Source organism: Homo sapiens, chromosome X (genome assembly GCF_000001405.40).
Source record: "Homo sapiens chromosome X, GRCh38.p14 Primary Assembly".
NCBI lineage: Eukaryota > Metazoa > Chordata > Mammalia > Primates > Hominidae > Homo > Homo sapiens.
This window is the reverse complement of record NC_000023.11, coordinates 65,508,833-65,534,847: the sequence shown is the minus strand read 5'-3', so window position 1 is coordinate 65,534,847 and position 26,015 is coordinate 65,508,833. Positions and strand designations below refer to the sequence as shown.

At 50.1% G+C, this 26,015-nt stretch overlaps 1 protein-coding gene across 25 annotated transcripts; it reads left to right on the top strand.

Moving 5' to 3' along the window:
* LAS1L (LAS1 like ribosome biogenesis factor) lies at positions 61–22,266 on the top strand. 25 transcript variants are annotated; one of them, NR_164681.1, is made up of 15 exons: positions 61–368; positions 1,113–1,238; positions 2,218–2,287; positions 3,410–3,491; positions 4,970–5,254; positions 5,590–5,636; positions 6,479–6,588; positions 9,798–9,883; positions 10,234–10,284; positions 10,586–10,792; positions 11,141–11,288; positions 14,031–14,146; positions 16,383–16,861; positions 19,875–20,025; positions 21,947–22,266. NR_164681.1 is itself a non-coding variant. In NM_001375328.1 (14 exons), the coding sequence occupies exons 1-14, from the start codon at positions 133–135 to the stop codon at positions 22,071–22,073; spliced, it is 2,202 nt and encodes a 733-aa protein (NP_001362257.1). In that variant the 5' UTR covers positions 61–132; the 3' UTR covers positions 22,074–22,266. The 25 variants fall into 25 exon arrangements, 20 of the variants coding, with proteins under 20 accessions (NP_001362257.1, NP_112483.1, XP_011529347.1 ...); NR_199823.1 differs by lacking the exon at positions 10,234–10,284; NM_001375328.1 differs by lacking the exon at positions 14,031–14,146 and having other exon boundaries at positions 19,878–20,025.

Below are 26,015 nucleotides of genomic sequence, written 5' to 3'. Positions count from 1 at the left end.
GAAGGCGGGCTTGCGTATGGGGTCACGCTCTCCTATTGGCTGCTGGTGCGGTGGCGGTTCGGAGTGAGGGTAGCACGCTGAGCTGAAGGCTGTGCGGAGCGGCGCGGCACAGAGCCTGTTGTTGAGCTCAGTATGTCGTGGGAATCCGGGGCCGGGCCAGGTCTAGGTTCCCAGGGGATGGATCTCGTGTGGAGTGCGTGGTACGGAAAGTGCGTTAAAGGGAAAGGGTCGTTGCCACTCTCGGCCCACGGCATCGTGGTCGCCTGGCTCAGCAGGGCCGAGTGGGACCAGGTGACGGTTTATCTGTTCTGTGACGACCATAAGTTGCAGCGGTACGCGCTTAACCGCATCACGGTGTGGAGGAGCAGGTAAGGTGGCGGGTTCGGCCCTTTTGCCTGCGTGCTGGTGGCGCTGCACCTCTTCCTTTGTCGAGTTTCTATAAGGCCCTGTTCTCCAGTCTTCCCCTAAGTCGCCTAAAGTTGTCCCTCTCCCAAATGCCTGGGGGAACGCGGCAGCCATCTCTTGCGCTAATCCCGTTAGCGGAATGGAAAGTAAGGGGTTGTGCCTCAACAATTCTCTTGTTATATCTGTGAGGTTTACCCATTACCTCCAAAAAGTGACTTTCTCCCAACTTGGAGAGGATGCCGGAGGGACTAGTGAGGCCTGAGCCAGGGCTTAAGGAGTAGATTAGTACCCTAGGGTAGATTTCCGATTCCAATGGGGAGGAAGTCTTGCCTGCAAGACAGTGTTTGAGTGGGGCGCCTCAGTCCAGTTGGTAAGATTGAGTTGGGAGCCGACTTACAAGGGATAAGGGGCTCCTCTAGCTCAATGAGTTGATTTGGGGGTGAAAGAAAGGGGTGTGTCCACACAACTGTTGATGGACAGTCTACCAGTTAGGTGTCCTGTATACGGCCTAGTCAGCTCCTCATGCCCTGTATACTGTTGGATCCCACAGACATTACCGTGTCTCCTCCCACCTTCTTGTTTTGTGTCTGTTCATGCTCTCTTGAACCAGAATATGATGGGTGTAGCCTGCAACAACCTAGGTTCTGAGGTGGAGGGTGGACCAGTGTAAGGGCTCTTTATGATGGTGCTGGACTGTGACCCTTTAGGTCAGGCAACGAACTCCCTCTGGCAGTGGCTTCTACTGCTGACCTGATACGCTGTAAGCTCTTGGATGTAACTGGTGGCTTGGGCACTGATGAACTTAGACTGCTCTATGGCATGGCATTGGTCAGGTAAGACCTGCATGGGGTAGGGGTGGAGGTTGGCTTTGGGGACTGGAGGCAGGGGAGGCATGTGATAAGCAAAACTTGGCTTCAGGTGTTACCTGAAGCAAAACCCTGCGTGTACCTCACTGTGGATCAGCCTGTGATTATTGCTTGACTTATCAGCTTTTGGTACCCTCGTCAACGCATTCCTCTTTTTCTTCCTTTTTCCTGAAAGCCTTCTCTTCCATTTTTCTTTCTATCTTGGAATGTGGAGGAAGGGATTCAGACCAGGTGATCTCTGTGGGTCTCTTGGTGGTCTGATATTTTTTCTTACCTTTGAATTCCTCACCCAGAGGAACTTGTCTGAATGGCTCAGGGTCCTCGCCTGTGATTTAATGTGGACTTTCCAACCCTGTCCCTGTCTATTCCTAGCACTACCCTTTTCCCCTTCTCTCCCTCATGAACACTGAAAGATTGCTGAGTTATGGAAGTGGAGACATGGGCTGGGAATTCCTGACTTACAAAGTGACTCATAATGGTTCTAGCTGTATACACGTCGGAAAAAAAGGTTGCTACTGAGTTTTCATATCTGTCAAAGTCTTTGCTTATCTATTTCCCCTTGTCTGCCTTGAGATCCTCCCTTTCTCTTCTTATTTTCTCCATTGGTTAGCTGTGCTCCCCATTATCTGATGTAGTCCTTTGCAGCATTTATAACATATTATGTTCTAGCCTAATATGTTACATTGTATCATTATTATTTATCCTAGACCGAACTGTTCAAGGCTAGAGCAGTGTCTTATTCATCTGTATGGCTTCATTATAGGGCAGACTCTCATTAAATGTTGGAATGGATGGAACTGTCCCTGCTCTGGCTGACACACCAGCTGTAGGAATAGGACAGGACAGTCGGTGGAAAAGTGGAAATGCAGGGTTTCAGTAACTCAGCAAAGTGTTTGGAATAAAATGGTTCCTTGGGCTGTGCCACTTATTTCTCCCTCAACTCCAGGTTTGTGAATCTTATCTCAGAGAGGAAGACAAAGTTTGCCAAGGTCCCCCTCAAGTGTCTGGCTCAAGAGGTGCGTATGATTCAGTGAACTTGCTCAATTCTGTCTCCAAGAGGGCTCACCAAATGGGGCATGGGGTATTGTGGGCACACAGTCAGACTAGCTCATCCCATCACTACCAGCCAAGCCCAGCAAGAATCCCAGAGCCTCAGCTTCCAGCCTGAAGGAGGCACAGTTGCTCCCTTGCTCTCATATGACTGGTATCTCAGAGGGCTTGGCCTGCCCAGCTTGCTGGGAGGAGCCCAAATGTAGCACTGGGTGGGGACAGGAAAGAGGTGACAGTCACAGCACCTGCCCTCATGGAGCTGACAGTCTGAGAGAGGAGACAGCTCAGCCACTATGAGTCACTTTGTAAATCAGGAATTCCCATCCCATGTCTCTACTTCTGTAACTCAGACATTCCTACCCTGAGGAGTATGTGAACTGTGTAGAGGCCCAGAGGGCAGGCATGCTCTCAGTCATTAGCGCTTCCCGGAGGAGGTGTAGGAGGGAAGCAGGGGTAAAGGATACTCAGGGAGAAGGACAGGCTAGAGGGAGGCTGGAGAACGTGATTGTTAATGCTCATTCACAGGTATTTCTTTGTTGTAGAAGGGTGGTTGGTGGTTAGGGGAGGTGTGTGCCTTTTATGTTTCTGATTTTCTTTTCTTTTTTTGAGACAGAGTTTTGCTCTGTTGCCCAAGCTGGAGTGCAGTGGCGTGATCTTGGCTCACCACAATCTCCGCCTCCCAGGTTCAAGCAATTCTCGTGCCTCAGCCACCCAAGTAGCTGGGATTACATTTGTATTTTTGGTAGAGATGGGGTTTCACCATCTTGGCCAGGCTGGTCTCCAACTCCTGGCCTCAAGTGATCCACCTGCCCTGGGCTCCCAAAGTGCTGGGATTACAGGCATGAGCCACTGTGCCTGACCCACTTTTCTGATTTTCAATACCTCCTCCATAGAGCAGTAAAAAAAGAATAAGAAGAGCTGTTTTTTTTTCTTGGCTCTGTCACTGTGATTGGAATCTTCTTTCAGGACCTCAGTTTCTCTAGTTGTAAAATGGGGCAGGAGGTGGTCAGGATAATTAATCTCTGGCTCCCTTCCAGCTTTAATAATTATTTTCCAATTTCTGTACTCACACCCTCCCCTGTAATCAGGTAAATATTCCGGATTGGATTGTTGACCTTCGCCATGAGTTGACCCACAAGAAAATGCCCCATATAAATGACTGCCGCAGAGGTGAGTCCTCAGAGGTTATACCTATCACAGTTAAGCCCAGGGGCCTGGGCTTGGTGGCGCTGAGGGTAGAGGGATAGGCAGGAGGGTCTCCACCTGGAGTCAAGGCTGGGACTAGGGTGAAAGAAGTGAGGCCTCGCCTTGGGCACAACATTTAAAGTGGGGAGAAGTCAAAAGTTCCATAATCAAGATAAATAACATATTAATGTGGAAAAATTCATGATAAACATAATATCAAAACTTTAAGTAAAACGGGATTAGTATTACTGATTTCTCCTTTTGTTTCAGCTTCCAACATGGCTTGGCATATTTTGATACCTTGACTACAGAGGTTTTTTTGCCTGCCCTTAAGTTGTTTTTTGTTTGTTTGTTTGTTTTGAGACGAGTCTCACCCTGTTGCCCAGGCTGGAGTGCAGTGGCACGACCTTGGCTCACTGCAACCTCCACCTCTCGAGTTCAAGTGATTTTCCTGCCTCAGCCTCTTGAGTAGCTGGGTCTATAGGCACATGCTACTATGTCTGATTAACTTTTTTTTTTTTTTTTTTTGAGACAGAGTCTCACTCTGTCACCCAGGCTGGAGTGCAGTGGCGCAATCTCAGTTCACTGCAACCTCCACCTCCTGGGTTCAAGTGATTCTCCTGTCTCCACCTCCTGAGTAGCTGGGATTACAGGCACGCGCCTCCATGCCTGGCTAATTTTTTTTTTTTGTATTTTTAGTAGCGATGGGGTTTCATCATGTTGGTCAGGCTAGTCTCGAACTCCTGACCTCATGATCTGCCCGCCTCAGCCTCCCAAAGTGCTAGGATTACAGGCATGAGCCACTGCACCTGGCTGTATTTTTTTAGTAGAGCTGGGGCTTCATCATGTTGCACAGGCTGGTCTCAAACTCCTGACCTCAAGTGACCCGCTCACCTTGGCCTCCCAAAGTGCTGGGATTATAGGCGTGAACCACAGTGCCCGGCCACTCCCCTTAAATGTTGTTTCTCAGGTAGTGCCTCATTAGTCTCACATACCTCTCCATAGTTGAGGTGGGGAGGTTGCCAGGCATGAGCCATCAGCAGTGTCATGAACCCAAGGGTTCCTTGGACATCCACCCCATCCCGATTAAGAATCCTGGATTTAGCCTCACTCTTTGTGATGGGAAAACAGATCTAGAAAAGGGGAGACTTGGCCAAGGCCATGTAACTAGCTAATGGGGCTGATTCCTACTTCTGCCACTTACTAGCCCCTTAACTGTTTTTGGCATCTCGTCTCTAAGTCCAATAATAGGTTTTTTTTTCTAGAAAAAGTGCTGGTAAGCAGGATAAAGCAAAGAACAGGGGGATAACCCAGAGTGAAAGAGGCTGCTTCTGGATATTTGAGATTTGAACCTTGGAGCCAAGCCTTTTCCTGGGGCCTTCCTATAATACCCACAAGATGAGGCTGGAGGCCTGCTAGCTGCCTGCCTGATCCTGTGGCACTGCCTGCCTTCCCCCCTCTAGGCTGCTACTTTGTCCTGGATTGGCTCCAGAAGACCTATTGGTGCCGCCAACTGGAGAACAGCCTGAGAGAGACCTGGGAGTTGGAGGAGTTCAGGGAAGGGATAGAGGAAGAGGATCAAGAGGAAGATAAGAACATTGTTGTTGATGACATCACAGAACAGAAACCAGAGCCTCAGGATGATGGGAAAAGTACGGAGTCAGATGTAAAGGCCGATGGAGACAGCAAAGGCAGCGAAGAGGTGGATTCTCATTGCAAAAAGGCCCTGAGTCATAAAGAGCTATATGGTAGGTGTTTTGGAGGGCAGAAAGCGGCCCATGAGCCCAGAAGGCTCAGGCTTAGGGTTAACGCTGTTTATTTCCCTGGCTCAGCATTTCCTCTGGGGCTGTGGTGAATCTTAGCTTAAAAAATTACTGTCACAAACCATCCTCCTGGCTAGTTTCCATAGTATAATGGCTGTCACATTTGCCTCACAAACCATCTTGAGCCCTGTGAAGTAGTTGGGGAAGGAATTCTAGTTCCTCAATTACAACTCAAGAAATGAGGTGAGAGAGGCTCAGAATCCCATCAGGAGAAGGGGTCTGGGCTGGCAGTCCTATCTGTCTCCCCATTCTGTTTTCAGAAAGAGCCCGAGAACTGCTGGTATCATACGAAGAGGAGCAGTTTACGGTAAGAAAGTGCCCTGGACTTGGTGTGCTCTCATCTGCCCCAGCCATTTCTTCCCTCTTGCCAGCTACCTGAGAGAAGTCTTGAGAAGGAATTTGAAAGAAAAGTGACAAAGCGTGAGGGAACTTCTCGGAAAGAGAGAGGGGGGAACTAGGAAGGAGACAAGAGGAGCAGAGTCCAATTGGCTGATCCTCCACACCGATGGAAGGGAACAGATGATGAAGTTTGCGGATAATCTGCCCCACTGGGTGGTAGGGAACAACTGGGAATGGGTAGTTGCGCAGCCCTGCAATTCCGCAGCTGACCAGTAGATGGGGCCCAAGAGCTTCCCTAAATCAGGTGAGCTGGAGGGGTGCTGTTTTTAGGGAGGTCACTCAGAAACCATTTAGCTCAGCCCTTCCTTTTCACAGATTAAGAAATTGAAGCCATGGATGAGTGAAGGGACAGGCCCAAAGTCACATATACAGTTAATGATAGAACCAGGATTAGTACCTGGATCTCCCAGTTATCTTTCTTCTGTAACTCATTGCCTCTCCTCATCTCTGGCCCTTTGGCCTAAGAGTCTCTATCTCCAGCCAAATTCCCCCATTGAACATCTCAGTATTTACCCACAGGAAATTCAGTTGGAGGAGGAAGGGAGGGAGAAGGAGGAGGAAGTCTCACATTTGAGAGTCAGGCTATTTTTAGTTGCAAGGCCAGTAGGGGAGTTGTGGGCCCCCCCCTGCATGCCCTGCCCTGTCCCCTGCAGGGCAGTGCTGAGAGGTCCTATGGGAAGGGATCCTGGAGGGGTGGAGGTGGGTTGCTTGGCTGAACCAGCCTTCTGATGGGACCCTCTTTGCTGGCAGGTGCTGGAGAAATTTAGGTATTTACCTAAGGCCATTAAGGCGTGGAATAACCCGTCCCCACGTGTAGAATGTGTCCTGGCAGAGCTCAAGGGCGTTACATGCGAGAACAGGTGTGTAACTAGGTAACCGGGAGCTGCGTATTCTCTAGGATAGAGGGTAGCAGCCTCATTGAAATCGGTTTCCCTATCCTAGCTTGCCAACCTCTGCTGTACAAAATCCCAGGGATAATCCTGATCCCCTCCACAGTGACCCTACATTTGGCAGAACTGTCTGCCCTCAACCCTGCCAACTTCCAGGTGGGGGTTGCCTATACTAGAATGGCCAGAGGCAGGAATGCCCACTATCATCCATCTGCTGGCCAGCTGCTTTCCTGTCTGTCGGGTGGCATGTGGAGCTCTTGACAACTAGGAAAATCCCTTGATAATTACCACCTCACTCACTGCCTAGCCCTTGTCTAAGTTTGAGGTAAAAGATATATGTATGGTGGGCACTGCTAGTCTTGTCTTGTTTTTTTTTTATTTTTTATTTATTTTTTTTGAGAAAGTGTCTTGCTCTGTTACCCAGGCTGGAGTGCAGTGGCGCAGTCTCGGCTCACTGCAACCTCCACCTCCCGGGTTCAAGTGATTCTCATGCCTCAGCCACCAGAGTAGCTGGGACTACAGACGTGAGCCACCACACCTGGCTAGTTTTTGTATTTTCAGTGGAGACAGAGTTTCACCATGTTGGCGAGGCTGGTCTCAAACTCCTGGCCTCAAATGACCTGCCCTTCTGGACCTCCGAAAGTGCTGGGATTATAGGCATGAGCCACTGTGCCTGGCCTTTTCTCTTTTTTTACGATAGGGTCTTGCTCTGTCACCCAGGCTGGAGTGCAGTGGTGCGAACATAGTTAACTACAGCCTCAACCTCGCACACTCAAGAAATCCTCCCACCTCAGCCTCCTAAGTAGCTAGGACCAACAGGCATGCACTACCATGTCTGGCTAATTTTATAATTTTTTGTAGAGATGGGGTCTCACCATGTTGCCCAGGCTGGTTTCAAGTTTTGGGATTCAAGAGATTGTCCTGCCTTGGCCTCCCAAAGTGCTGGGATCACAGGTATAAGCCACTGCAGCCGGCCTGGTCTTTTTTTTTTTTTTTTTTTTTTTTTTTTTTTTTTTTTTGAGACAGAGTTTCGCTATTGCCCACGCTGCAGTGCAGTGGCACGATCTTGGCTCACTGCAACCTCTGCCTCCCGAGTTCAAGGGATTCTCCTGCCTCAGCCTCCCCGAGAAGCTGGGACTACAGGCACGTACCACCACACCTGGCTAATTTTTGTATTTTTAGTAGAGACGGGGTTTTGCCATGTTGGCCAGGCTGGTCTGGAACTCTTGACCTCAGGTGATCCACCTGCCTTGGCCTCCCAAAGTGCTGGGATTACAGATGTGAGCCACCACGCCCGTCCTGGTGTTTTCTTTTGAACTGCCATTGGAGAGTATTAGCATCCCTTGGATAGTCATGGTTAGGGGAATAGAGGCGGGACCTTCTCAGGGTCTGGCTCCTAGAGACTAAGTTCCTTGTCTCTCAAGTATGGCTGTGAGCCTTTGTTTCCAAAACAAAGTGCTCAGCTCAGTCCAGAGCAGGCGCATAGTATGTCTACCCATTCTTCTTTCCTCCCTAGCTCTTGGGGGCTTTCTACCTAAATTCAGCTGGAAGGGCTTTGGGGGACTTTCCGCTAAGAACGTGTGGAGGCAATGCTAAACCTCAGCTAGAGAGAAGTTGGAGAGTTTAGGTAGGTGGTGTAGGTAGCAGAGTAACCCTGGGTGAGAACTGCAGTGTAGGCTGGGATTGCCCCTGGAGTCTTCTCTTCATGTCCAGGATACTCGTTCCAAAAGTATTTTATCAGTGTTTGCCCAGCCTAGGTTTCTTGGCTCTACCCTTCAGCAAAAGGGTTGGTGGTGGCTTCATTAGCAGCTGGGAAAACTATGCCCCTAACACAGTAGTGTCTGCCTGGTAATGCTGGAGAGAGGGATCTAAGTATGTCAATTTTCCAGGCATTAGGACAACTTGGGAGCTCTTTTTTCCACGTCTAGGCTTGGTCAGTTAGGAGAATGTCTATATCTGTTTAGTGTTGCTATAAAGGAATACCTGAGGCTGGGTAATTTTGAAGAAAAGAGGTTTGTTTGTCTCATGCTTCTGTATCCTGTATGAGAAGCATGGTGCCAGCATCTGCTTCTGGTTAGAGCTTCAGGCTGCTTCTTCCCCTCATGGCAGAAGGCAAAGGGGAGTCCACATGTACAGATATCAAATGGCAAGGTGGAGGGGGAGATGTCAGGCTCTTTTTTAACAACCAGCTCTTGCGGAAACTAATAGAACAAGAACTTAATACTGTGGGAACAGCACCAAGTCATTCATGAGGGATCCGACCCAATGACCCAAACCCCTTCTACAGGCACCAAGGTCAACATTGGGGATCAAATTTCAACATAAGATTTGGAGGGGACAAACATCCAAACTGTAGCAGAAAGCCTCTTGGGAAGCCACTAACTCTGGAGGAATCAGCTTGCTGTTGCTGGTGTAGGTTTGAGCTATTAACCCATTTATGCCGGAGGTTGCAATTTCTTTCTTTTTTTTTTTTTTTTTTTTGAAAAATCAGACCTTGGTGAAGACCTTGAGCAGTAGGATATAAATAACTCCCACAAGCTTAGCGTTCCAATAATGGAACACTCGGCATAAATGGGTTAATAGATAGGGATGAGAGATTACCCCTATAGCCTACTCCTGCAACCCCTCTAACTTTGTTCTGGGTTTTTAGAACCCCTAGTAATAAGGCCTATGGACCATATTTGGTCTAGCAGTTGGGTCCCCAAGGTTTCTACTTCTAGGATCTAAAAGAAGGTAGCCAGGGAGAAGAGAAGGGGTAGGGTACTGAAGAATGGTCAAGATAAACAGACTGCAAGAACTGAGTCTAAAAGCCCTTGACCCCATGATCCCAGGCATTTATTTCCTTCTGTGGATGTGGAACTTTTTCCTGTCTGTGTGTTGAAGTGTATTCAGACACTACTGCTCTCGTTATGGGCCATAGATCAGCATTAGTGCTTGGTAAGCACTTGTTCAAAACCCACTGATCCCAGCCTCTAACCAGCCCCTGCCTGAGGAGGCTGAAGCCTAAGATCCAATTGTCAACTCCCTTCCTCCCCACTCCTACCCACCCACCACCCCTCCTCCCTATGCTGCTTCAGCCACTTGAGCCAGAGGCATTAGCTGCTTTGGAGGTGGGTGGAGGAGTAGGAGAGGGTCTTCTGCCAGCATCACTTTGCTAAACTAGTGTCCTCTTGTTCCAGGGAGGCTGTGCTGGATGCTTTTCTGGATGATGGCTTCCTTGTCCCCACATTTGAACAGTTGGCAGCTTTGCAGATAGAATATGAAGGTAGGGTTCTGGGGGCTCACTGCACCCTTAGGGTTCTGATTCCTGGGTGGAAACAGCTGGGGTGGGCTGGGGGGCCCTGGGTTGGGGTGTGAAGGCTGTTTCCTGCCATTCCATGGCCTCTGAAAGTCCCTCAGCCTTCCTGGCTGAGCAGAACAGGTAGCCCCACTGACAGTTGTGGGGCTGCCCTTAAGTGCTCTGGAATGGGGTGGGGTGGGATGGGGTGGGGTCGGGGAGTCTTAATGACATTATTGTGCCATGTTCGTTGTGATTTAGCTGCTAGCTAGAGAGCTAGAACAGCAGAATTGGAGGGGCCTTGTGAGGTCATCTAGTCCAACATCCTCATGTTACAGATGGTCAGACTGAGGTCCAGAGAGGGGAAGGTACTGACCCAAAGTCACACAGTGAGTTATTGACAAAGCTGAAGCTAGAACCAGATCTCTGTTTTGTTTATACTTTATTTTGAGTCAGTTGTTGGTTGCCAGATACTAACTGGTTTCTCTCTCCCCACTGTTCTGCTCTCCTCTTTCCTTTGTTCTGCGGTGGCAACTCTGTTGTTGGTGGGGGGCTTGGCTCATGCGCGCGCACACATTCTCTTGCTCTCACTCTCACTTCCTTTCTCTTGCTGTCTCTTGCTCTCTCTTTCGTGCTCTCCTGCTCTCTCTCTCCTATTGCCCCCCCAAATGGGTGTCCCTTACAAACCAGAAAACGTGGACTTGAATGACGTCCTGGTGCCAAAGCCGTTCTCTCAGTTCTGGCAGCCCCTGCTCAGGGGCCTGCACTCCCAGAACTTCACGCAGGCCCTATTGGAGAGGATGCTCTCTGAACTGCCAGCCTTGGGGATCAGCGGGATCCGGCCTACCTACATCCTCAGATGGACCGTTGAACTGATCGTGGCCAACACCAAGACTGGTGAGGGAGACTAGCCCTAGCCCTAGGGCCTAAGGCAGCCCAGGCAGGAGCCTCTGCCACTGTCCTCAGCTCTCTGCTAAGAAGCACCAGGCAAACACCTCCCGTGTTAAAGGTTTAGGTTTGCCCAAGAGGGCCCCACGGCAGCAGTGGACAAATCTCCCTTTTCCTTTTCTTCTCAGAGCCAACTAAACTGGGCTGGGGCAAAGTGCCCTGAATTCTTTGAGCAGTTGGGAGGTATAGGTGGGGAGTCTGGGGGGATGGGGAGGGACAGAGCCAAACTTTCTGAGGTGAAATGTTGGGTGGGGGGCTCACTGCTTCCTTCTCCTTAGATCCTCTCTTCTCTCTCAGGACGGAATGCTCGCCGATTTTCTGCAGGCCAGTGGGAAGCAAGAAGGGGCTGGAGGCTGTTCAACTGCTCCGCCTCCCTTGACTGGCCCCGGATGGTTGAGTCCTGCTTGGGCTCACCTTGCTGGGCCAGCCCCCAACTCCTTCGGATGTAAGTCTCTTGAATTCCATCCGGTAAGAGGGTGAGGCCCTTCAAGCCTCAGGGCCACACTGCCCTAGAATGACTGAGTTAGAAGGGCCCTTTGGGGACAGTCTAGCCCAGTCTCACTCCCACTGACAGATGGGACAACTGAGTCCAGAGAGGGGAGGGGTAGGGTTTTCTTACCTAAGATCATACAGCTTAAGACCTGACTGAACTGAGTCCAGTGTGGGAATGGATAAGACAATCCCCCTAGAGTGCTTAGCACAGTGGCCTGCACAGAGTAAGTGCACAATAAATGGTAGCTGCTGTTTATTATTGAACCCAGGTCTTCTGACTCCAAGCCCAGTGCTGTTTCCTCTATTATCTTTCCAAAGTATACCTCTGATAGTTGCTTAGCAACCTTCAGTTGCTCCCTATTGCCTTCCTGTTAAGTCTAGGCTTCTTAGCCTGACATTCAAAGATCTTTCTGATTCTGGCCCAACTTACCATGGTAGCCATACCTCCTGTGAGTCTCCTTTACCCTATCCACCCTGGGTTCTATGGTCAAACTGAATATTGCACTGGTAAATACCTGTGGTTGTCTCCCTTTCCTTTTCTCTGTCATTTCCTGACCCTGAGCCACTTCCCTCATAATCATGGAAGCCTTTAGCGCCTGATTCCCTTCTTGCTTTCTTGAGCAATATCTGTTTCATTTGGATGACTCATCTGACACTCTACAGCTCCTCAACTCCAGTGACTTTCATTCTCCACTACACTCAGCAACCCATTTCCATCATTCGGAGCTATTCCACCTCTGAAAGCTCACATCCCAGCATCCCACTCGGTGACCACCACTTCTCGTCCTTCTAGTTCTCACCCTTGCATCCCATGACATCTGCTCTTTGCCTGCATCCAGATCTCCATCCCTCCATTTCCTGCATCCCTTGACCTTGCTTCCTCTCTATCCTGTCTGTGGTTGCTCAGTTCGGCCACTCATCATCAGCACCTTCAGCTTTGCCCATCCTTTGGCCATATCTGACTTGCAAACCCCTGAGCTGGAATTGATCCTCCCCATTCTGCTTCCCCTGCTCCTCAGCCCGGGTAGCTGAGCTCTGCTGGAGAAAACCACATAGCCCTGCGGATTGCTGCCACTGCAGAGGTATGATTTTTAATCTCGGGCGAGGCCTCAGTTCTGCTTGTCTGAACTTTTACTTGTTTTCTGACCACTTTCTCTCCCATTTCCTCACTATTCTAAACCCTTACCGCTCACCTCAAGCCCCTCCCCCTCTCCCATTTCACCCTAGCTTCCTCGAGCACATGGAGGCATCCGGCAGGGCCCCCTCGACCTGAGGTCCAGCCCTCGTGAACTGATCTGCGGCTGCACTCAACCTTCTCGCCAGTCTCAGGATGAGGTGGCCTTGCCCCACCTCAAAGCCTGCTCCTCCACCTGTGCTCTGGAGCCACCTCTGCCAGCATCGCTGGGGCCTCACCCCAGCCTCTACCTTGCTCTGCTGGCTCTTGCTCTTCAACCTAGGAACGTGCCTGAGCTTTTCTCATCTTAAACAAAACAACAATAACAGCAACACAAGCAAAATCTCCTTTGACCCTGCATCCCTCTGTTGGGTTATCATCAGCTTATCATTCCCACCCTTCCCATCAAAACATCTCAAAAGAGTAGTCTACACTCAACACTCTCCATTTCCTCACTACCCTCTTACTCCTCAACCTGCTGCAATTTGACATTCACCCCCAGAGTTGCTTTGACCTCCTAATTACCAAATCAGTGGGCCCTTGTCAGTCTCTGTGTCTGCTGCATTGATGCTGTTTACCACCCCCTCCTCAAAAAATGCCTGTGCTTATTACTAGTTCCTATAAAGTGCTGAAACCCAAATCTGTCTAGCCCTGGCCCCTCCCCCAAGATTCAGCCTCCTGTACTCGACTACATGTCAGACATCTCCCCTTGGATGGCCCACAGGCACCTTACTGTGACCAAAAGAGAATTGGTCGTCTCAGTCCCCATCTCAACTCTAAAGTGATCTTCCTCCTCTGTTCCCTATCTCACTTGGTGGCGGCACCATCTACCCTGTCCTGTTGACTCTCGAATACTTCCCAAATCTGAGGTTTTGTGTTGCCGTGTCTACTTCCCTTAGTGTCTCCTTCCCTCTATCAGACTAAGCTTTTCAAGGGCAAGGACTCTACATCAGCTGTCCGTGCCCTAGCACACCACACAAGTCTAGGCACCAAACAGGCCTCAGTAAATGTCGTTGAATTGAACCGTGCTCTGCTCTCTCATTCCCAGCAGTGCTGTCCTTGGTGGGAGCTGACCCAGTGCCTGGGGAATGAATGAAGTGGGAGTCTGGATGCCAAGACCCTCTTAGTCCCTGATCCCCCTATTGAGTCCAAAAGTCTTTCTTTAACCCTGATGGCATTTGGGACACAGAGGTATTTGTAAGGTTTTAAAAGTGGCTTTGTAGACAAAGTCAGTCAAGGCAAGACTTCCAGGAGTTGGAACTGAACAGCCACATTGCCAGATGTGTGCTCCAGACTAGAAGTGATGTGGATGGGTGGGCAATTGGGAGGAGAACCAAAAGGGCCTGGATGAGTCAGAGTTTCAAGAGGAGGCATTTGAACAATTCAAGCAGGAGAAAGAATAAAGCAAGTTTCAAAGTCCAGAAGGAACATGGCATGTGTATATAATGGGAGGGAGGGAGTGACAAGAGCAGCATGGAGAGGTTTGGATAGGTGGCCTTCAAGGTACTTTCCAATCCTAAGTGCCTGCAGAGTGGAAGCTGCTGGTCTCGGAGAAGTCTGGACCACAGAGATCTTCTCCCAACCCAAGCATACCAGAGGGATGCGACACATGCCGGCAGTAACAGCGGCTCACTTGGGTACGATTTCTTGTGCACAGATCCTGCCTTTCCCAGATAAGCAGTGAATCTAGTCCTAATCACCCCGTTACACAGAGTGGAGAACAGAGGGGGTTTGCCCAGGTATTATGCTGCAAGTCAGAGCTGGGGCCAGAATCCAGATAGCCTGTCCTTAGTCCCATGCTCTTCTGTAATACTCCACTAGATTGTATTATTGCAGAAAGCATCTGTTAAACACAGAACTTGGCTTTTGTTTTCCCCAGAGAAAAAATAAAAGATACTATTGGAAATTAAGTGTCAGGCATGGTGCTGTGTTTTTTTGTAGAGGTTAACTTCATTTACTTTGACACAGCAGTCTTGGGAGGTGGAAGTATTATATATTATACCCTATTTGACAGATAAGACATTGAGGCTCTAAGGAGTGATGGGACTTATCTAATAGCTACACATTTGTTGATGGTGGGACAGGGATCTTGGCCCAGGTGGTGTGAGCCCAAAGTCTACCTTCATCCCATCAGCCTGAATCTGTGACCTTCTCAGTCCTGAGCTATGACCAGACATACTCGAGGAAGGGGGTGTATTTTAAGATTCGCATCACCCCCGCACCTTAGTGGTCAGACTAATGGTTCGAGATAGCAGGTGGGTAATCATAAACAGGGCTGATAAGGCATTTTGCCAGTATCAAGTGTCTGGGAATATTTATTATTAATCACACTAATGGACCACCATGAGAGGACAAAGTTTCTCTCTGGCTTTTCATCTGATTAGAGCTGGAAGCTTTTCAAGCACTTTCTCCAGCCAGCCAATATCAATTTAATTTGAGCCACTATCGTCTTGGAATATGAAATTGCCTCCATAGACAGGATCTCCAGTGAAGTCATCAGCCCCCCAGCCCTGCCCCCACTGACCAGTCACCCTGCATATGTGACCAGTCTGCATGTGCCCAGAGAGAAAACAGCCTGCTGAGCTCATGGCCCGTCTGTGAACCATCCGCATCCATCTGTGACTGGGTGCCTGTTAGGTGCCAGGCTCTATGAGAGGCTCTGTGAGGGGTGCTCACCCTCCTCTCCCCTCGAGCTCCCCTTCCCAGCAGCTCTGTATCTGTTGGTGGTTTTGCTGTTGGCGCCGTCTTTTGTGTGCACAGTGTCATCATCTTTAACTCTGCCTGACCCCTGCCATCAGTCACCAAGCCCTGCTCTCTGTCTGTCTGTGTGTCCTTCACAGCTTCACTCCCTCCCATCTCCACTGCCAGTGCCCCAGGTCAGCCCTCCCCGACTCTGGCCTCAACTGTCGGAACAGGCTCCTCCCTGGTCTCCCTGCCTCCAGGCTGCCTGTCCAGGCCAGCCTCCACATGGTCACTTGGTGATCTTCAGAAACATAGCCTTCATGTGTACTCAGAATTGGCAGGTGAACCCTCACACACACACCAATGCACACACTTACCTTCCCAGCCCTCTCTTCCTCCCACGGCTCCTCAGCACAGGCCGTGCCCTCTAGCTGGGCTACTCACTGCACGCAGCAGCACCGTGTGCTTGCTCTTGTCTCTGGGCTTCCCGGGCCCTACCTCCTGCACAAAGCCCTCCCTTGGTCTTTCCTGCCCTCCTCGTGCTCTCTGTCTCCCTCAGCCCCGCAGTGCCTGCAGTAGGTTCGCAGTGCTCATCTGGCCTCCCTCCCACATCCTGCTTTGTCTTGTCAGCCGCTGCTTTTTTTTTCTTTTCCTCCATTCCAGGCTGGGCTGTAGCTGCTCCCATAAAGGGATCACAGTTTGTGTTCCACGCAGAAGGAGCACAGAACACTTCCAGGCATATCCTTGGAGCTCAAGACAGGTTGCTCAGCTAGGCCAGAGAAGAGAGGGATCTGTTCATTTCCAGCCCTGCAGGCCTGTTGGCTGTTTTGTGCATTTATGTAGCTTTTAAGTGCAGACTAATAGCTATCATTTATTGCATGCCCACTATGTGCCAGGCACTGTGCCAGGCATTCTATGTGAGCTTTCTTATTTACTCCTCCCAACAATCCTATACATTAGGTATCATTATTGTCCTCATTTTACCTGAGAATGGAAGTGAGGCACAGAGATGAACCACAGAGTTTGTTCTGGGTCCATGGTCCTGTTGTTTCTATGTTCTGTCTGCTCTACTACACTGCCTTTCAGAGGCAGGTCTGGAAGTTCAGAGACCAAGTTCAAACCCTGGAGTGTTGGGGTATGAAGTGGCTTGAGATTTTGAATCTTTCCTACCCCATCCCTCCCTTTGCTCAGCATCTTCAAAGCCATGGGGCAGGGCCTGCCAGACGAGGAGCAGGAGAAGCTGCTGCGCATCTGTTCCATTTATACCCAGAGTGGAGAAAACAGCCTGGTGCAGGAGGGCTCTGAGGCCTCCCCCATTGGGAAGTCTCCATATACACTAGACAGCCTGTATTGGAGCGTCAAGCCAGCCAGCTCCAGCTTCGGGTCTGAAGCAAAGGCCCAGCAACAGGAGGAGCAGGGCAGTGTTAATGATGTCAAGGAAGAGGAGAAGGAGGAGAAAGAGGTCTTGCCAGACCAGGTAGAGGAGGAGGAAGAAAATGATGACCAAGAGGAGGAAGAGGAGGATGAAGATGATGAAGATGATGAAGAGGAAGACAGAATGGAGGTGGGGCCTTTCTCTACAGGGCAAGAGTCCCCCACTGCCGAGAATGCTAGGCTTCTGGCCCAGAAAAGAGGAGCTTTGCAGGGCTCTGCATGGCAGGTTAGCTCAGGTAAGAACTACTTTGTCCCCACATGGACTTCTTTTCTCTTTGGCTGGCTCTTGAGGCTTCCTTCTACCCTAGGAAGAGATGGAAAGTAGCAGGAGGTAGCCAATGTGAGGCAAGCCTGGAAGGCAGCCTGGTGCATAGATGACAGCTGGCTTCTCCCACCTCTTAGGATGGAGCCTGTGAGTGCCAGGGACCACTGTCAGGCTGCTGGCTACCTCACATAAGAGCACATTCTGAGAGGATGACATGGGTGTGAGCCCTGGGCAGTAACATAGAGGCAGAAGATAGCAAGAAGTAGGGAGTGTGTACATATATGGTTCTGCACGTGTTTTTCACTTGCAGTGAGACAGTGCTTTCTGTGTATGTGTGTGTGTGCCTTGAGGCTGGCTGGTGGTGAGACAAGATTTTGATGTGTGTATTAGAAAGAAGGAACCTAGGAGACCGGGCGTGGTGGCTCATGCCTGTAATCCCAGCACTTTGGGAGGCCGAGGCGGGCGGATCACGAGGTCAGGAGATCGAGACCATCCTGGCTAACATGGTGAAACCGTGTCTCTACTAAAAATACAAAAAAAAAATTAGCTGGGCGTGGTGGCGGGCGCCTGTAGTCCCAGCTACTCGGGAGGCTGAGGCAGGAGAATGGCGTGAACCTGGGAGGTGGAGCTTGCAGTGAGCCGAGATCGCGCCACTGCACTTCAGCCTGGGTGACAGAGCGAGACTCCGTCTCAAAAAAAAAAAAAAAGAAAGAAAGAAAGAAAGAAGGAACCTAGGGCATTAAGTCAGAGAAACAGGAAGTGAGATCACAAGACAGAATAAGGAATGCTGTGATTTTTAGGTGAGCACACAAATTAGTGAGGCCAAAGCTAGGAAGAGGCTGCAGGGAGGGTTAGTGATAGGGATCTGCTCTTCCTTTTGAGTACCCTTGCTTAGGTTAATGAACAGGAACCTCGGAGGCCGGAACACACAGAAGGGATGACAGAACAGTGTGGTGTCTGTGTGCTGAAGCCTGGGGAGGGAGGGAGAACAGCTGGGCCTGCGTGATGTGGGGTGTGCAGTGGCAGAGAGTGAGAGGGGAGGCAGTGAATGAGTTTATAGAGAAAGATACTATGGCCTTTGTTTGTCCTTGTATGGACAGGGTGGAAGGGCTGGAACATAAAACATAAAGTCTGTCTCTCTGTGTGTGTGTGTATGGGCATGTTCCTGTACCTGCTGGTCAAACCATAGCCCAGTGACAAATAACTTAGGGCAAGGAGGGCTGTGTTGGGGGTTCTTTGTAAATATTGAAAGGGAGGGGCATTGACATAAGCAGAATTTGTGTGTGTGTGTGTGTGTGTGTGTGTGTGTGTGTGTGTGTGTATAGGAAAAAGGGAAAAGTAGGGGCAGTTAAGTCATGGCCAAGCAGGCTGTCGTACAGCTTTGTGAAGAGGAGGCAGGGTTGCTGAAATCCATGAGGGCTAATAGGTAATCTGTGTGAGAGAGAAGTGATAGCATTGAGGTTGGTGGCTATGGAGGGGTAGTGGGAACAGGCAGTGAGATATAGCCATCCAGAGATGGCCTGTATGTTCACGCCGTCACTGGGGACATGTACAAGGGTATCAGGCTAAAGAGGCAGGGGTAGTGATGTAGACAGCATTGGCGATATTAGTGATGACAGAGAGATGATCGGGTCAGTGACAGAGCCTATGTAGGTAGTGGCCCCTGTGCACGAAGGTGTCTCTGTATCATGGAGTAATGCAGGACATTAAGACAGGCACAACTTCCAGTAAGAGAGCCAGGGGAGGGGGATGGACAAGTAGAGGAACAGTCCTTCCTGAGGAGCTCTGGGTTACATAAAAAGCTGGTCCAGGGTTGACACATTATAGAATGCCAGGGGCATTATGACAGGGAGAATTCTTTGAGTACCAGGGAGATGCAGAAGGCCAGAAATGGAATCTACATGGAATGCACCAGTGAAGGCTTCATTTGAAAACACTGAATGCACTTGTGGAAGGATGGGGAGGGACATTTAATATAATACTGTGTGGTAGGCGTCTCAGTGATACGACAGAGAGGGATGGGGGATGTCCGGCATCCCCATTCTAAAGTGGAGCATCTGTATATGGGGGGATGTGAGTTGTGAATGTGGAAAGTCTAGAACATTAACTCTTTCCCTTTCTCCTTTGCCATTGCTCCTTATGTGTGTACACATGTGTGGGGAGGTAGGGACAGGAAGATTGCTGGTTGTATGCCAGTGAATGAGGGGTGTGGGAGGCAGGGAGTGAACAGGACAGTCACTGAGTGAAGGACTTGTGTATGTGTGCTTCTGTATACATATTTGGGTGGCTGTGAGGGGTGGGATGTGTGGTGAGACAGCCGTTCCCTAGAAAAGGGGTGTACCTTGTGCATCTTGGGGCAAGAACTGCAGGGGGCAGGGGAACATACTATCTCAGGGAGTCCACCCTGAGTTGGGCATGGGGGTGTGTGTGTATCTCTGCATTAAGAAAATATGTGGTATTCAAACAGGCAGGGGAGTGTGTGTGTAGATTTGTAGGAAATCTAGGTCATTCAGCTACTCTGAGGTACTGGTGGGTTTGGGGTTTGAGGGGGAGGTGCTTTGGGAATTCTGGGACATCCAGACCCTCCATGATGTGTCCCTGTGTGTGTGTCTACAGACAGGGAAATAGGGGTGAAGATGAAAAGTTGAAGCAGTGATACAGCCTGGTCAGAAGTTGTTGTTTGTGTCCGTGTGGAACATGCCTGGGGAAGTAGGAAAAGAGCAAAGAGGGACAAAAATGTCTGTAGTTGTATACTTGTATATGTAAGCACATAGAGGGGGAGAAGGACCATAAAGAATGTGTGGTGAAGCACTCTGGTGGAGAGGGGCTCATGAGAAGTGATACCGAGAGCAGTGAAGCTGGAGATCCTGAGAGAGCCCACCTGTGCTAAGTGGGGTGGGTGGATGGACAGGGTGAGCAGGCCTGTGCACCAGTCGGAGAACCAGCTCATCAGCCCAGTCTTGCCACTTCCCTTTGCTCCACAGAAGACGTGCGATGGGACACATTTCCCCTAGGCCGAATGCCAGGTCAGACCGAGGACCCAGCAGAGCTCATGCTGGAGAATTATGACACCATGTATCTTTTGGACCAGCCTGTGCTAGAGCAGCGGCTGGAACCCTCAACATGCAAGACTGAGTGAGTGCCCATGGCAACAGGATTTCTCACCCCCTTTCTCTGCCACCTGTGGGAGGGAGAGAAGACAAGGTGAGGTGGGTGGGGGAGGTAGCTGTCCCCAGTCAGGGCCTAAATGAGTGAAGTGTAAGCCCCAGTCCCTGGCTGGGCCCTTGCCAGCTCTCCCTGTCCCTAGTGTGGGGAGCCAGTGAAGTAGCCACACACAGCTGGGCTTGGCATCCCTCTCAGATTGCATTCAGTTTGTGCTTATGGATGGACGTGTGTGTGTGTGTGTGTGTGTGTGTGTGTGTGCAGGCACACACACACATTTTGGGAGGAGAAGGGTCCATAGCTTTCAGCAGATTCTCTAACTGGTCCACCACTCCTAAAAAGTCAAAAATAGATGCTCTCATCCAGCTTTTTCACGTTACTGAGGAGAAAACTGAGGCCCAGAAAGGGGAAGGGATTTGTCTAATGGTGCATAGAGTAATCAGTAGGCCTCCCCACACTGTCCAGGCACCTTGGTAGCAAGGCCTGCACGGGGCTTCATGCTCTCCCTCAAAACTCGCCTCTGGATCACAGGCGTGGGAGCCCTTGGGTCACCAGGGAGCCAGGAACCAAGCAGCCCTTGCTGAGGGGCTATGCTAGTAACACAAAGGAGCCCATCCAAAGGGCCTGTACATTCCAGAATGCTGGGCCATTCTGACCAGATAATCCTGTGAGTACTAGAGAGGAACCCCTGCGGGCCCCTGAAACTAAGTCTTTCCCTTTGCTGCCTGCCCACTCCCTGGGAGATGAACCCCTCTTCATCTGGGCATTCTGGGAAAGGGCTATAGAATCCAGGGGCCCCAGAAGCAGGCCAGACCCAAGGCAATGCCATGGACTCTGTCCAAGGCCATGGGCCAGCAGGCCTCTTGGAGAAGAGAGGTGGCAGCTGGGGAAGCCAGGAGATCTGTAGTTGGGAGTGGGATTCACATGTCTGAGAGAGGTGCCCTTACCCCTCCTTCCCAACCAGCCTGGCCCTGGGTAAGGATGGCTTATTGAGTACCATGGATAGCAAGGGTGAAGTGTGGGCAGCTGGAGCTGTTCAGTCAAGAAGGAAGCTGATTCAGCCCAGCTCCCACACCCACTGTAGTAGGGACGTTTCCTTTGCTGTGGAGGGGCATGCCCACCCCTGCTTCTTGTCTCAGCTCCACCCCTGACTTGGCTATGTGGCCTTGGGAAAGTCCATTCCCATCTCTGGGCCTCAGTTAACTTGTCTGTAAGATTGTGGGTGATGGGAGGTGGTGGAACTAGATTATCCGTAAGGGTTCTTTCAGCTGCAGTAGTGTAACCATGGATCTGCCTGAGGGTAGGGTGATGGCTTTGCTCTCAGCTGTCACCCTCACCCAGCTGGAAGGACCTTGACTTGCGGGAAGCAGGGGAAGCAAGAGTGTTATGAGCAGGGCCAGGGAGAAGGAGGGCAGAGCCACCCTCCCTAAAGCAATCTTGCAATCGTGGGCCTAGTCTTATAGCCCAAGCCTGGCCTTGGGCCCCTTAACCAGGTGTTGGGTGTGGGAGGGATCCAGGCCCCCAAGCTCTAAGGCCTTGAAAGGATGTCCTGTTAAGGCAGCTACTTTCAATGTCTTGGGAGTCAGGTTATGTGGGGCCCCCTCCCCTACCTCAACCCAAACAGCTCTGCTTTAATCTGGTTTATCTACTAGGGCTCTGCATAAAACTTCATTTGAAAAGTTCTTGCCTCCTTCCCTCCCTTCCTCAACTGAGGAGAGGGCCAAGTCAACCCTGGGGCCCACACGAAGTCGTTTCTCGGATTTGCTCCAGTCTCTTTGTAAAGCCAGGCAGGAGAGTGGGCCCATCCCACAGATACACACATGTCAAGCACTCTTGGCCCCTCCAGAGCCTAAAGCTGCCTCCTTCCCTGACTGACCTCCCACTCTCTCCTCAGCACCTTGGGCCTGAGCTGTGGTGTCGGCAGTGGCAACTGCAGCAACAGCAGCAGCAGCAACTTCGAGGGCCTTCTCTGGAGCCAGGGGCAGCTGCATGGGCTCAAAACTGGCCTGCAGCTCTTCTGATGGCCATCCCTGGTGCAAGTGTTCATCCAGCCGTGCCAGGGCAACAGCCCACCCCCTAGTACAACTGATGCTCCCTGAGACAACCTGGGAGACAGCCTGGATCAGCCACATCAACTCAGTTGTCCACCACAGGGGAATTTTGAATGTCTTTTGTTTTTGTTTTGTTTTGAAAAATAATAAACAGGCAACTGTAGTTTTGGTGTTTGTGAGATGAAGAGGGTGGGTGCTGGGGCAGACCAGTATAGTTTTCCCTTATCTGTGGAGGCTCCAGACAAGGCTTTGACCAGGAGCTAGGTCCTGAGGTCCTTTGGGCCTCTGGCTTTGATTGCTCCTATAACCAGGCTCCACCCATATCTTATTCCGGACTCCTCAAACCATTTCTGTTCTCAGCTGTAGTATGAGGCCAGCTCACTTGGAAGCATCAGGCTCCAGAGGCATTGCTGGCTACAGAGCCTAGCGAGTGGCCAGGTGGTTTGCTTAGAGCCTCCCTGACAGCGGGAAGAGCCAGGCCACCTTGCTGCTACCCAGCAGGCTTCCTGCTGTTCTCCACACCTGCCCTCACTATGCACCAAACAGCAGTTGAAAGCCAGAGAGAATATTTTCTTTGTCACTTCTGCACTCTTTTGGCCTAGAAAAGATGAGAGTGGGCTTCCCTGTGGTGTGCATTAGAGCCAGAGAAACATCTTAGGGACTGATCCAGAGCCCCTTCTCTGTGCTCACCAAATCCCCTCAGAAACTCACCTCACCTTAGAGTGCCTACCCCATGTCAGCCCTGAGCTACCAAGAGATAGGGATGAATAAACCATGTTTTCATTCCTTAGAGCCTTCAGCCTGGTGAGGAAGGACCAAATGATAACCTGATGCCTCTGCTAGGTGCCTTAAGGGATTTCTGTAAACGGCCGCACCAAGAAATGACGGAGAGAGCTTATGCTAAGAAAATGCCAAAGAGGAATTTGGTAAAAGTGCCGTGCTAGAGCCCAGTCAAGAGTTTTAACTTGGATTAGGACCCCTAGAGTGTCTACAACACTTGAAAGGATATACTAAGTATCATTGTGGGTATACGTATAATCATTTTTCTAGCTTTTATCAAGTTGTCAAAGGGATCCATTAGTCCAACAGCCCAGCAGTGTTAAGATCTTTCCTGTGTATGATCCAAGCATTAGGCATGGGCAAAGCAGTCTTGTGCAACATCAGTTTCCTTCCAGCTCTTCCCTGTCCCCTCACAATGGCAAAATGCTAGAAGTCTGTTGGCATCTTGGAATGGCAGAGCTGGAAGAGTCCTCAAAGAACATATAGGCCACATCTAGTGAAGGGATTTGCAGATGTGTACTCCGGGAGGTACTCCAGTGCCTGCTCTGTGGGGAGATAGGTGCCATAAGCTCTGGGTTCCCATCCAGCACTTCACCAGATTCTTATGTATTGGAATCATATATGAGATTTCTTTGGAAAGATGTTTTGGTTTTGTTTTGTTTTTGTTTTTTTTTTTTTTTTGAGACAGCCTCTGTCGCCCAGGCTGGAGTGCAATGGCACGATCTCGGCTCACTGCAACCTCCGCCTCCTGGGTTCAAGTGATTCTCCTGCCTCAGCCTCCCAAGTAGCTGGGATTACAGGTGCCCGCCACCAAGGCCGGCGAATTTTTTTGTATTTTTAGTAGAGACGGGGTTTTGCCATGTTGGCCAGGCTGGTCTCAAACCCCTGACCTCAGGTGATCCACCCGCCTTGGCCTCCCAAAGTGTTGGGATTACAGGCATGAGCCACCGCACCTGGCCAGAAAGATGGGTTTTGCTGCTTAAAAAAAAAAAAAAACAAATAAATAAGGTCTGGAAGTCACAGTTCTAGTCTACACCCCCCCACCCCCGATTGTATGCATTGAGACAGTGGGGCAGAAAAAAAAAGAAGGGATTTGCCTAAGGCCACAGAGCAACTTAATAGGTCAGTATAGATCAGTGTTTTCTAGCAACTGTCAATATCACCTGGGCACTTGTTAGAAATGCAAATTATTGGACCCTATTCCTGACCTGAATCAGAAAGGGTGAGATTGGACAGCAATCTTTGGCTTAGCAAGCCCTTAAAATGATTCTGATGCACACTGAGGTTTCAGATGCACTGGTATACAGGAAAAAGCTTGCCAAAGACCTGGGTTCCAGGCAAGCTCCACCGCTTAAGAGGAGCAACCTTGGGCAAATCATGCCACAGTTTTTTTCACTTGCAGGGAGATAATATTTGCCTCACATGCTTGTAAGGATTGAAACAGACAATAGATGGGAAAGTGTTGTCTAAAGCATATCATGCTTTGTATGTGTGAGTGGTGTAGGTTCATGTGAGGGTTGGTAAGCCTTGAAATTGGGACTCCGGTCTCTATATAAATGACCCATTGTCATGCTTTCCCCTGGCCCTCAAAGACTGATCTAAAGATGAGGAGCAGACTACATGAGCTCATTTCTAGTCCAGGTCCAGAGAGTAAGAGCCAAGGGTCATTGTTGGCTGGTATCCTGGAACCTGGGAGTTCTGAGGCCAGGTTGAAGGGCTTCAGATGGCAAGGATTGGTGGGTGGGGAGTGGAGCTGTCAGGAAGCAACCTTACTTAGCCTAGTGCCCATGGACCTTTTCTTTCTGATTAGAGATAAGAGACTGATTAGAAAGTCTGAACTGCACACAATTTTCATTTTTGTTTTTATTTTTGGAGACAAGGTCTTGCTCTGTTGCACAGGCTTGAATGCAGTGGCACAATCATGGGCCACTGCAGCCTCCAATTACTGGGGTCAAGCAATCCTCCCACCTCAGCCTCCTGAGTAGCTGGGACTACAGGTGTTCACCACCACACCTGGCTACTTTTTGAATTTTTTGTAGAGACGGGTCCTCCTGTATTGCTCAGGCTGGTCTCAAACTCCTGGCCTCAAGTGATTTTCCTGTCTCAGCCTCTATAGTGCTGGAATTATAGGTGTGAGCCACCGTCCCCAGCCTGAAATGCACACTTCTTTTAACTGGGAAACAGGGATAGGGGTCAAGGAAAGGGAGCATAGATTATCTTATTGTTCAACAACAGTAATTCAGAGATTCCCCCCGATAGGTAATTCATCAGTGGCAAAGAACATGGCTCCCGTGCCCAAGGAACTCCCTGTTTTGTGGTAGAGACGGTGTGCCAAAGTGAGTGACAAGAGCTAAGAGGTATTGCTCAATATTCCTACAAGGCCCACTGTTGGGAGGGACTAACAGTAGCTTGACCGGGGGTTGGACAGCTTGATAGAGGAGGTGAAATTGGCACTGGGTCTTCAAAGGCAAGACTACTAGTCAGAACAAGGAGTAGAAGGAAGGTCAAAGTCTGGAGAGGTTGAGAAAGCATGGTTGGGGGCACCAATGCAGGGTACAGGATAATTGGAACATGGTGATATGAAGGACTTGGTATTACATGAGGCCTGAGGGGAGGTGGAGAGGGATATGACCAGACTAGTTCATTTTCCACCTGAGATTAGGGCAGAAGCACTGGATGTTTGTTGATTGTCCCGTCTTGGAATTCTAGTTGTTCTTACCACTCTCTTTACCCTCATGCTGCCACTGCCCTCCAAGGAAGTCTTAATGTCTTACTTTATTCTCTGAGTGTGCTTCATTCCCCCCCTGAGTGCAAGTTCCCCAAGATGGACTATTCCTCTTCTGCCTGCCTAGCTTAGTATAGGCCAGACCCCTATCCCGTACTCAGTAAGAACTTGATACATGTATGCCCGAGGAATGTGACAGGAAGAGTAAGAGACAGAACAGGAAAAAGGTGGGGAGAGATAAGCACTCTTAGTCCTGTGGAGGATGATAACAAAAAAAGATTCTCAGATTCACAAATAGCCTCTTCTAAAGGCTCGTAGACTGGGCTCTGCTGCAACCATCATGGCTACCTCTACCTTTAGAATGAGACTGGCCTGGAGTGCGGTGGAGGGTGGGTAGGAGGCTTCAG